Source organism: Homo sapiens, chromosome 7 (genome assembly GCF_000001405.40).
Source record: "Homo sapiens chromosome 7, GRCh38.p14 Primary Assembly".
NCBI lineage: Eukaryota > Metazoa > Chordata > Mammalia > Primates > Hominidae > Homo > Homo sapiens.
In genome coordinates, this window is record NC_000007.14 from 108,392,328 (window position 1) to 108,405,079 (window position 12,752).

The window sequence follows — 12,752 nt, forward strand, 5'->3', positions numbered from 1 at the left end:
TCAATCACTGATACCCTTTCTTACAGTTGATCAAATTGGCTACTAATGCTTGTTCATGCGTCACGTAGTTCTCGTGCCATGGTTTTCAGCTCCATCAGGTCATTTAAGGATTTCTCTACACTGGTTATTCTAGTTAGCCATTCGTCTAATCTTTTTTCAAGGTTTTTGGCTTCTTTGCGATGGGTTTGAACATCCTCCTTTAGCTCAGAGAAGTTTGATCGTCTGAAGCCCTCTTCTCTCAACTCGTCAAAGTCATTCTCCGTCCAGCTTTGTTCCGTTGCTGGCAAGGAGCTGTGTTCCTTTGGAGAAGATGTGCTCTGATTTGTAGAATTTTCAGCTTTTCTGCTCTGGTTTCTCCCCATCTTTGTGGTTTTATCTACCTTTGGTCTTTGATGATGGTGACGTACAGATGGGGTTTTGGTGTGGATGTCGTTTCTGTTTGTTAGTTTTCCTTCTAACAGTCAGGACCCTCGGCTGCAGGTCTGTTGGGGTTTGCTGGAGGTCTACTTCAGACCCTGTTTGCCTGGGTATCAGCAGAGGCTGCAGAACAGTGAATATTGCAGAACAGCAAATGTTGCTGCCTCATCATTCCTCTAGAAGCTTCGTCTCAGAGGGGTACCCAGCCGTGTGGGGTGTCAGTCTGCCCCTACTTGGGGGTGCCTCCCAGTTAGGCTACTCGGAGGTCAGGGACCCACTTGAGGAGGCAGAGTGTCCATTCTCAGATCTCAAACTCTGTGCTGGGAGAACCACTACTCTCTTCAAAGCTGTCAGACAGGGACATTTAAGTCTGCAGAAGTTTCTGCTGCCTTTTGTTCAGCTATGCCCTGCCCCCAGAGGTGGAATCTACAGAGGCAGGCAGGCCTCCTTGAGCTGAGGTGGACTCTACCCAGTTCGAGCTTCCCGGCAGCTTTGTTTATCTACTCAAGCCTCAGTAATGGTGGGCGCCCCTCCCCCAGCCTCGCTGCCACCTTGCAGATCGATCTCAGACTGCTGTGCTAGCAACAAGCAAGGCTCTGTGGGCGTGGGACCCTCCGAGCCAGGTGCCAGATATAATCTCTGTTTATATATAATATAAACTGTGTGCCGTTTGCTAAGACCTTTGGAAAAGCGTAGTATTAGGATGGGAGTGACCCGATTTTCCAGGTGCCATCTGTCACAGATTCCCTTGGCTAGGAAAGGGAATTCCCTGACCCCTTGCGCTTCCCAGGTGAGGTGATGCCTCACCTTGCTTCGGCTCTCACTCAGTGGGCTGCACCCACTGTCCTGCACCCCTGTCCGACAAGCCCCAGTGAGATGAACCCAGTACCTAAGTTGGAAATGCAGAAATCAACCGTCTTCTGTGTCGCTCAAGCTGGGAGCTGTAGACTGGAGCTGTTCCTATTCAGCCATCTTGGAACCCTCCCCCGTTTAATTTTTTATAGTAAGTGCCTGGGCTAGATTGTCACAGATCTTGATTGTGATTCCAGAGCCAGTACCTTATCACAGTACTATGAAGATAGGTAATCCCATCCTCATACACACACGTGCTACATCACATGGCCCACGTATGGTGATTGCTGCAGTTCAGGTTTCTCTGGAACCAGGCTCTGAGATGAAGATCTGCAGGCAGGATTTTTACTGGTGAGGGCTCCTGAGCACAACCCCAAGGGGAGTGCACAAAACAGGACAAGGGAGTCAGAGAAGTTGGGCCGTGGTGCTGTCACAACAAAAGCCTCAGCCAACCTTTCAGGTCCTACACATTGTCCTGAACTGAGTCAAGAGCCTTTGTGTTCCCAAGTCGACCACTCATTGAATGCACATGGGCCTGGGGCAAACAGTATAATCTTGGGTGAGGCAGCTCTGATTAGCTGAAGGCAGAGGACAATCCCCAAAAGGAAGGACCTAAGTGAGCCATCAGCTGTCAACACTCCAAGAAGCTGGAGAAAGAGTGCTTCAGTCAGGAAAGGGCAGGGGATCTGAGTGGCACATCACAGCTCTACCACAGTGACTGTGTCTTCTGATCCCCAACTCAGGATGCGGCCCTGTGAACCTGTTTATGGATTCTGAGTTACAGATTATATCATTTTAAGGCCAAATAAGTCAAAGAAATCAGACTGAGGGGAGAAAAGAACTTCAAATACTGCTTTGGTTTATGTGTAGGGCAAGAGGAGTATTTCTCTCTCCTCTTAGTCTCTCTCTTTGCCTCTTTCTGTCTTTGTCTCTGCCTCTGTCTTTCTCATTTACATTCTCTGTGATACACACATACTAATATGATGACACTAAATAAAACATGAAACCCCTGATAGCAAGGAGGGGAAACAGAAAAGGAGAGACAATAATTTGAAATACTGGTAATGGATAGTTATTATCCAGGTGGATATTGGGATTTTGGAATAATTCTATCAATAATGTACATGTCCTCTAAATGAAGGACATTTATGTTATGTTGGGTGAATAGAACCCTGTTAGTAGTTCTGCATCCTCAATCTTTTTTTTATCCTCAATCTTTCCTCATAGGTCTTATATATTAAAAGATATAATTGCCTCAGGATGGTTCTTGCCTAAAACAAATAGCAAAGATACTTATACTACTGATTGTGAAGAGGAAGTTGTTTTATTTTTCCATTTTAAAATAAGAACAATAAACATGTTTTTAAAGTTTAAGATCAAAATTATTTATTATTTAATGTTATCTACTTATCCATTATGCAGATGCTTTTAAAAAGCTAGAAAGTCAACAACTGGCAAGAATGGTTTTATTAGGGCATGAATTAGAAATAAATCCCCAAGGGAAAATGAATTCAGCTTATATTATGAGAAAATGTGAAGAGTCATTAATCCATATTATGCTGCCTTGCTATTCTATTAACTAAGGCAAAAACAAATTCTCTAGTCACCATTCTCATTTTCATGAGTAGCAAGGTATTAGTGCAGTAGCTAGGGTTCAAAAGTTAATAATAAACCTGAATCAAGAATAATTTCAAAAGTACCCAGACAACAAAAGGCAGTGGAGAGTGAAAATTCAAATGTAGCAGGACATTATCTGATTAGAAATCTGTTGTCATTGTCCTCCACCAAAATGGCCCACGAATTGCTGAGGTAAAGTCTGCGATCTCTATGATGGGATTGAATTTGTACCCAAAGTTAGTAGCTCAGCATTTCCTTTCCTCTTTCTTTTTAAAACCCCACATTATAAAAGGGCACACAGCAACACATTTTACTGTTAAATATGATCTGAGCCTGTTGGAATACTGCCCATGCAAAAGTGTCACCCTGGCAACTCACCCATGCCTTCCACTTCCCAATAGGAGTTTTCCCATACAACCCTCCCCTTGTAGAATGCTGTTCTCTAACCACAGGGTACAAGGAAGGCAGTCTCCAGTGCTGTTCCAAACTCTGAATACTTCTAAGTGGCAACTCCAAAACTAACATAAATTGCATGCATTGCTTTGCTTGCACAATGACACTCACTTTGGAATCCAAGCAGAAAGCAGCCACCTAATATGGTTGCATTCTGTCCTTTACCCATGGTAAGATAGTTCAGAAGAAGACCACCACCAAGTCAGGTAACAGTGGTGAAAGCTGACCTCCCCTTTCGCAGCCATCATACCATCTTGTGTTCACAGTCTGCAATAGTTTCCATATCTATTCATCCCTGCTCATACGGTTGTTCTGCCCAATGCAGCCAAGCGATACACACGGCAAACACTTAGCAAATGCCAATGTCTCCCCACAGCACTCACCCCTTATCCACAACATGCTATTTCCACTACCAGTTCCACAAACCAAGGGTCTCACGTTTTAGAGACATCATATTAGTGTGTGTCTATCATGCAGCGAATATGAGTGAGACAGAAAAAGATTCATAGAGACAGAGAGAAAATAGAGGCAAAAAAGATTGAAACAGGGAGAAATATTCTTTGTGTTCTGCGCATAAATGAGTAGAAACTTTTGTTACTGGCAGCTTTCGGGATGAGTGAATCATGTTTTGTACACGCACTCTGATAATTTACAGCCCACTGGTTTCACAGTAAAGACTGACCATTCTGTGGACTTCAGAGAACAATTCATTGTCTTCAAGACCACCTACAACTCGCGTGTATGTGCCGTCATTCCAAATTATACTAATGCAGCGTTTCCATAAATTCATCCTCTACACATAAAACTCACAGTAGATTGCAATGTAATTGACCAAATCAGAAATATCTTGTGCTTTCTGGATGACTGTAATTAACCACAATTTATTGTATATTTCAAAATAGCTAGAAGAAAGATTTCTAATGTTCCCAACACAAAGAAATCATAAATGTTTGAGGTGATGGATATACCCAATTAATCTGGTTTAATCATTACACAGTGTATGCATGTATCAAAGATCACCTGTAAATATGACTAATTTGTATATGAAATATGTATAATCATTATGTATGAATTTAAAAATGAACAAAAAAGGTAATATCCTGTGCCTAAAAGTGTTGGTTTTAAAGTCACTGATGTCTTTTTTAACTAGAATTTAAACACAGGTGGTTTGATTCTGTTCCAATCTTTCATTTCACTGGTAAAACCAGTCTAGAGAAATAAAGGCTGCCAAAAACAAAATCTATGTTAAAAATTAAAAACTATAAAATTTAAAAATAACAAAGCCTTAATCAGAGCCTCAAGTATTAAAAGAGAATCTGATTGTTGCATCTAGATTGATTAACCAAAGCAAGTGTCATTGGTGTGAACTGATTTACTTAATTCAATTCCCTATTTTAAGACATATAGATAACTTTACAGCTCAATAAAGATTTAGAATAAGAGAAAAAAAAGATGAGGTGGAAACGGCAGAGTGAGATTCAGGAGACCAGGACTCTGGTTCCAGCTGTTAGTGTTCAGTAAGTTACTTAATTTTGCCTCAAATTATTTTTCTTGTGTATGAAAAAGTGACAGATTCGTGGACCTTTAAAGTTCCTGAAAAGATGGTAGTGAACTACAGAGAGTAAAAATCGAGCATTTTGTAGCTTTCCAATGGGTATTAAGGAAAAAAATCAGTAAGCTAATTAAGATCACAGTAATCAAATAAAATTCACTCAAAATAGTACTATTGTAAGTATTATTTGAAGTTGAAATTTTTACCCCAGACATTCCCTCAAAGAAGGCTGTGAGAATGAATTTCAGCAGTCTGACTTGGGTGGACTTGCTCTCAAACAGTGCAGGCTCTGTTATAACAGGCCTCAACCATGTCCTGGGTGGATGCTGAGAAGACCCAAAGGGAGGGGCCCTAACACCACCCCACTGAAGAATGCAAGAAAGACCCTCTCAGTCTCCCATAAGCAATGCTGAAACACTGGGCAGAGCAATGAAAGTGAGAATTTGACAAAAAATCATGATTGATACTGAAAAAGAATGACATTTGAGAAAGCAAAGCTCCTTTCGTAAATAATTGCTGTAGCTATTGTGAATTAAAATGGAGAATAGCACTGGCTTGTTACTGTCCTTAACTTCAGGGTTCACACTGTTTGTTAAAGACTGCTTTGAATTTCCTTTTATCAAACTGGAAAGGTCACCGTATTTGTCTCTAGGAAGAAAAATCCTAATTTATTATGCCAAGAAAATAAGAAGAAATACTACAGATACAAATGAAACAGCAGATAATGTCAGAATAAAATGAAAATAGAGAATGTGGTAAGTTGTGCTTTCAGTAAATAAATGAATAATATTGAAGGCTTAAATACAAAATCAAATACATAATTAAGAAAATATTTTTAACCATTGCCTATAACTCCCAAGTGAATGTTTCTAGTTCTGAATCTTCCCCTTACCTCCACACTTACACTTCCAGCTGTCTGATGGATATTTCTATCTAGATGTCCCTTATATACTTCAAAGTCCTTCCTTTCCCAAGAATAAATCTGCTTCTCTCCTAAATTCCCCTTCTGGCATCATAATGTTCTCAGTCACCCACATCAGAAATCCAAGAATCCCAAGTCCTGACATTTTCCTACTTCCCATGCCCAATCAACCACCAAATCCAGCTCTTTCAAATTCCCCTTTCTTTCTCTATTCGATGCTGCTTCTAGCCAAATTCTAATTCTCCTCGCTCTCCCCCATATAATTACAAAATGCATCTTTCCCTCCTTCAATATTGCTCTAGTTCATTCTCTATACTTCCTCCAGTGTAATACACATAAAATGCCAATGACTTCCAGCTGATAACACCTCAGTGCTTCCTGCTCACCTTCCTTTCACACATATGCCATAACTTCTTACTTTCTCACATGGATTTCACACCCCTATCCCACTGCTCCTACCTGCAATGCCCTTGTCCACCCTACCCTGCTCTTTACCTAACTCCTATTCCACTTTCAGGAGCCATTTTAGGGGACACCTCCTCTAGGAAGCCTGCTTTTACACACAGCCCTCTGGCCCCAGACTGCATTAGCTGCCTTTTCCATTCCTTAATGCACCCTCAATATACTTTTATCATATAGAAGTTGGTCATATCTATTTATGTGCCTGTCTCTTGCATTTGGCAGATATTCCTTGAAGGCAAGGACTTATCACCTTTGCTTCTTGAGAGCCTAGCAATGTTTACTGAACTGAACTGAAAATAAATGAAACTATGGGGAAAAATATATTGGTGGGTATGAGAGTATTTCTGAGGATTATAAATGTTTAGAAAAGTAGAAATTGTTTTTCTTACTTATGCAAATAATACCTCATGGTTTACAAAGTGTTTTCATAAAAGTTATATCGTTTGATCCTTAAAACAACCCAAGAAGGTAGGGTAAGGCAGATATTGAGGCTGATAGAGACCCTAAATACATAAGAAATTTCTCCAAAAAGAGAAACATTATTGATTTTTAAAAGGGGTGTGTGTGTTTGTGTGTGTGTGTGTGTATGTTCAGATAGATCTTCATAAGATCAGAGCTCCAACTTCAAATAAAGTTCCTGTTTGGTCAAAATAGCCAATTGGTTTCCTCCATATTTACTAAAAAGTTTTCCCAAAAAAGAGAAACTATCAATTGTTTATAAAAAATTTTCAATAACCTGTTTCCCTCTTTTCACTACTTTCCAAGTAGATTTTGGAAGACAGACCAGTTAATTCAGTCTTGTAAAGACAAAGAGAGAACTAATTCACTCTCACCTTCAGAAGGTCCACTGGGCTAGACACCTCCCAAATGTTTTTCTGATTTCTGAAGCTATCCTTTTCTCAGGAGAATGCCAACAGCTAAGACCAGCTTTTGTCGAAGTCTTCAGCAAACAGGGGATAAAGAATGCTGAGAGAGAATGTCACAAAGATTCCTGAAAAAGAAAAAAAGTAACACAGGACAATGTAAATTGTTTTGGGTTAATTCTATTTAGCTGAGATTTCATCCTACTATCGTACGAAAAATTGACAAGGGGGACTTACTATATATCAAATTCCATGATTAATTTTAACCAAGCATTATTGTACTTAATGACATCAATGTCTAAGAAATTTTAAGCAACTTAATAGGAACAGGTAATGAAAATAGGTAACATAATTCCAATTACATTGCAGTGTAGGACAGAAGTCTGAATTACCCCTAAATAGCAGGAAACAACTGTGCACACAAATCAAAAAGAAAAAAAAGGCACTTGATCTTATTCTACTCTGATGCTTCATGGGAATACACCGTGCTCTATAATCACATCAACAACAGGCCGTGGCGGGGAAGAATCTAATACAGACTGAAAAGAACAAACAATGAAGAACTAAGTATTTGATCAAGGTTGACAATGTCAGAGAGGAACTCAGCAATGCAATTAGTATTTTAGAGGTGGCTTTGAAGGCGGTAAGAAAATATGGCATCTGGAATAAAGGGGTTGCTGAACACACCATTATAAGAAAGAAAAAGCATAAGGTTAAAGTGGAACAGAATAAAACCTTAATTAAACAGAAGCCAACTAACAGGTGTGCTTGAATATTATGTTTATTACATATCTCACTTTTATGAGAGAGGGTAAAACCACAAAAGGAATGCTTCAAAAAGCTTCTTTTAAACCAGAACTTAGGGTCAGTCTGTAGTAAGAAGAGCAGAAACCACGAGTTCTAGACCTGCCTCCACCACTAACAGTATGGCCTTGGGCTTGCTAAGTGCTTCTCAACCCTGCCTGTGCATTAGCACCACTGGGTAAGCTTTTAAAAAGTATCGATGGCTGGGCCACATCCAGACCAAATAAATCCCTGACCAATTCAATCAGAATCTCAGGTGGAATGGCACGCAACTGTCAATATTTTGCAAAAGAAAGTCAGGGAAGATATTCTTTGATGACCCCTCTAGCTCTAACATTCTGTCTTTTCTACACTTTTGGCACCTGACAACTCATTTGTTTTAAAATAGATAAAATTTAAATTGATAGTATCCAAAACTTTAGAACCCTATAAATAGTTCCCATTTTCAGGAGGCGGGAACTCAGAGTCAAGAGGTACAGTGACTTACACAAGGTCCAAGCAAAGCAGCAGCGTGAGAATGGGGTCAGGTCTTCTAGGGAGGAGAAAGCCAGATGGATCATGACCTGGGGCCAGACACAACTCTGTTTCAGGATGGGCTGGGTATGATCCAAAGACATGAGCCACACTGATGACTAGGAAGTGATGAGGCTCGTGGCTCTCTGGGCAGGGATGCATAAACACAGGGTTCCTGCTTTTTAAGGAACTACAGGCCAGGTCCAGTGGCTCACGCCTGTAATCCCAGCACTTTGGGAGGCCCAGGTGGGCAGATCACCTGAGGTCAGGAATTCGAGACAAGCCTGATCAACATGGTGAAACCCCGTCTCTACTAAAAAATACAAAAACGCCTGTAATCCCAGCTACTCGGGAGGCTGAGGCATGAGAATCACTTGAAGGCAGGAGGCAGAGGATTTAGTAAGCCGAGATGGCGCCACTGCACCAGCCTGGGCGACAGAGCAAGACTCCATCTCAAAAACAAAGGAACAATAGCAGGCAGGGCACAGTGGCTCACACCTGTAATCCCACCACTTTAGGAGGCTGAGGCAGGTGGATCACTTGAGCCCAGGAGTTCCAGACTAGTCTTGGCAACATGAAGAAACTGTCTCTACAAACAAACAAAAAAAATTATCTGGGTGTGGTGGTGCGCACCTGTGGTCCCCGCTACTCCAGAGGCTGAGGTGAGAGGATAGTTTGAGCCAGTGAGGAGGAGGCTGCAGTGAGCCAAGATCATGCCACTGCACTGCAGCCTGGGCAACAGAGGAAGATCCTGTCTCAAAAACAAAAACAACAGAAAATAGTAATCTTAGTAGCTAAACTACTGAGCACCTTCTATGAGCTAGACACTGTGCCAAGAAGTGCTTTCGTTCTCACAAGAACTCTCTGACCTAGGTACTATTATCATTGCCAATGTATCAATGAGGGAACTGAAGCCAAGAGAGATGAGTCTTGTCTCAAAAATGATGGACCTCGAATTTTAGAATTTTAACAAAGCTACTCTCTCTCCCGACCATGCGTTGCCTCAAAGAAATACAACTCCCTTGCAGGCTGGAGGCAAGGCTGCTCTGCCCTGATATCTACTTTATCTTTTTTGTCTCAATGCATCCTCACACTGGAAAGTGGAAACAGAAGCCTCCTGGAGTCTCCATGGTGTGGTGCTTTCAGATTTTCTCAGGCTAAACAATTAAATTTCTGTTGAGAGAGAATTAACATTTTATGGAATAACTTTTATTCTTACACACACACTTCCAAATTAGTACACTTTGGATGCTGAGATTTAACTGTTTTGGAGAAGTTCAGCTCAGGCAGCCATCAGAAGAGTCATCACTGAAAACTGCCCTAAATAACTCAGTCCATCATGATATCTGAGTTTAAATGCCCAACTGAAATCTCTGGAACATCATTCACAATTCATGGGTAAACAATTTTCCTAACATTCTTACATTCATCTTCAATCCTCTTAAGAGAAGTATCCATGTCGCAGTTTGCTGTCCCATTACATTTACATTGGGTAAATTATTTCTTTTATTTGTACAGCATTGTTATTTACTATAATAAAATCTAATTTACAAATATGTTGCATATGAAATATATTTTAAGAGGCTAATGCAAAAGCATTACTGTTTCTGACACCTTAGGCATATCCTAATTATACTGTGTCAGAATTATCTTCATAGCTCATTTTAATAATAATGTGAAAAGATGGTTTTCATTAGACACATCTGGGAAGAAACAGAAGAGTGGTATTAAAAATAAAAACACAATTTTGGGAGACAGAAGGAGCCTGGAAGGTCACTAAATCCAACCATCTATCTGCCTGTGGCCCATTCTATTTTTAGGAAATTCTATATGAAGCTGAATCTCTCTTCCTGTAGCTTTGACTTATTGCTCACAATTCTGGCCATTGGAGCCACACCCAGGTTCATATTCTAATGTTAACTTCCCCAACCACAGCCCACTGTTCAGAAAAACAAGGATAAGCTATTGTTTTGGTAGAGGTGCTGCTTGGATCAGGAGTGAGCACCTTAGAGGCTGGTGGATGACCCAGGAGGTAGGTTTGTGCAGAGATACGCTAGAACAAAGACAATAGTAAGACAAATTGATCAAACCAGCTCTTTCTGGGATTTAGTTGATGTTGGGAGTCAGAGGAGAACCTACTAAATATGCAGAGATAGCAGAAAGACCATACGAGAGAGCATGTGAAAGGTGTCAGTCCCTTGAGTCATCTCAAACCGAACTTTCTACTTTACAGATCCAAACAGGGCAGCTGTGCAGCAAGCCCCTCCTCCTTAGAGTGTCTTGAGTGAGTTGCTGTTTTCTTTGGCCCAGAGTGCCCAAATTCATACAGACTAAGATTACAGCACTCCATTTACTGCCATTCTTACAGCTACATTTCAGACTGACAGTTAATATTTCTCTAATCTTTTTGTAGGTCTTTTTGTTAGAAACAAGTGAAGCCTTTATTTTCACAACATCAATATTTCACCTTCTTAGATTGGGTCCATTATCCCAACCTGCTAAAAACTTTTGACTTCCCAATCTTGTCCTTACGAAATATTCATTATGCCATCATCTATGAGTTAGACAAGAACACTATCTAGCAAAATATTAATGCTACTAATAAAAAATTTAAAAGCCAGCAACAATACCAAATTGGACACAATTTTAGAGAGCAAACAGTAGTATAAAAATTTGAAAATCAAATTGTTAGTAAATAAATTTATTTTAGTGTATGTCATTACTTAAAATTAATAATTACCAATACTCTAAGTTGATTGCCAATTATCCTGAAAATATAATAAGCTACATAAACGGACATGACCAAGCAATTCATTTGCTGGATAAAGGTTTTAACATTTACTCGTTAGAGACTGCAAAACCCAGAAGAATGAGGTTTCGGCATCATTAGAGAAAATGAGGCCATAGTTGAGATAATTGGTAACATGAACTTTGTAGCTGGAGTAATTACCTGTGCAGTCAACCAAGAAGTTATGTTTGAGAAACATATTGCAAAAACAGAGCCAAGTTAGCTTCAACCTTCCCTGAGGCAATCATGGAAATTAGCAGAATCTGTCATTTTAGGTCATCGGTATCCCCTTGCCAAAGTGAAATTGTTCTCTGAAGAAGATCTCAACTGCTTTTGTCTAATTTAGTTCTCAGTCAGCCTCACGGGATCTCTCCTTATGGTAAAAAGTCTCACACCGAAGGGCTTTTTAAGTTCTCCTGGCTGCTTTTCTTAGTTTTTCTGACTCCACCATTATAGTCAGGTGCCACTTCTCAGGTGGTCAGTATGCCTGCCCAGAGCAATTTAACCCAGCCTCACTCCACTAATTGGATATGCCTGGTCCTCTCCAGGCTGACTCTGGGTAAAGTAAAAGTGAAGTGCCTCAGAGGGAGAGCCCGATGCACGAGCCTATTAAAAAAGCACGAGTGAATGTGTGAATTTCACGCCATCTCTGATGACCATTGAGAGGCCTTTCTGGCTTGCTTCCTTCTCAGTTGTGCTGAATGGGTAAACTTTTCCTTCAACAACTGGTGTTGTAGACCCATTAGGTGCCACAAGAAATGCAAAGACTCTAAGACTTGGCAGCTCCTGCTCAAGAACAGAGATAGGAGATAATACCAATTTATGTTCTATGGCATTTTGAGGCTTATTTTTCATAGAGGTAATCTCATTTAATACTGAAAACGTCGTTTTTCTAGCATTTTACAGATTTAAAAAGTAAGTTTCAATAAGGAACTTCTCAATGGCTCATCATAGCTAGTAGGTGGCAAAACCAAGACTACAAGTATTTTGTAATTCTTAGTCCACATCCACTGACCCATATGCAGGCAAAATGACCACATAGCAATATGTTGAGTGCTTACTCCATCCTAAATACCGTTAAAACTGGTTAGCATATATTTGATCCTCATGACAACTTAATGAGGTATGCAATTTCAATATCCCCATCTAATAGATGAGAAAACTGAGGCACAGAAAGAGGACTAATGGTCCAAGGTTGTACAGCTAGTTGGGGGCAGAAAGTGATAAACACAATGAGAGCCCTGCCACCCGAATGTGGAGGAAGTTGTTGGATTTGTTGCTAGGAAGAACGCTAAGCAAGTTTTGGAACGTTTTCTGGCATTTCCAGAACAGTGAGACTTTTCTTCTCTTGGAAATCTTGTGAGGAGACATTGGCATCAGAGATGAGAAAAAGATGGCAATTCCAAGAAAAGAAGGAAATGTGATTTTTTCCTCGTCCCCTCCGCTATGACTATGGATGTGTGAGTGACTTAGCAGCACAGAGAGCTAGCGGCATATGAATACCATCTG

The 12,752-nt window shown here is 40.4% G+C and overlaps 1 protein-coding gene across 98 annotated transcripts in view, besides 1 other annotated feature; it reads right to left on the reverse strand.

Moving 5' to 3' along the window:
• The window catches only part of NRCAM (neuronal cell adhesion molecule), a 309,072-nt gene that overhangs the window by 244,679 nt on the left and 51,641 nt on the right, over positions 1-12,752 (reverse strand). For 93 of the 98 annotated variants that reach the window (NR_163870.1, NR_163867.1, NR_163869.1 and 90 more), the window contains exon 2: positions 7,109-7,266. The exons of 1 other annotated variant lie outside the window; for it this stretch is intronic. The gene's annotated coding sequence lies outside the window, so the exon portion shown is untranslated. Of the gene's footprint in view, positions 1-7,108; positions 7,267-9,088; positions 9,207-12,752 lie in introns of all 98 variants that reach the window. 4 more of the 98 variants (NM_001371166.1, NM_001371132.1, NM_001371167.1 and 1 more) reach the window with 1 other exon arrangement.
• Positions 10,624-10,824: a silencer, noted in NCBI's record as "peak6684 fragment used in MPRA reporter construct". NCBI's record gives its function as "represses an SCP1 promoter by STARR-seq MPRAs in K562 erythroleukemia cells {active_cell/tissue: K562}" and the evidence as "EXISTENCE:reporter gene assay evidence [ECO:0000049][PMID:32103011]".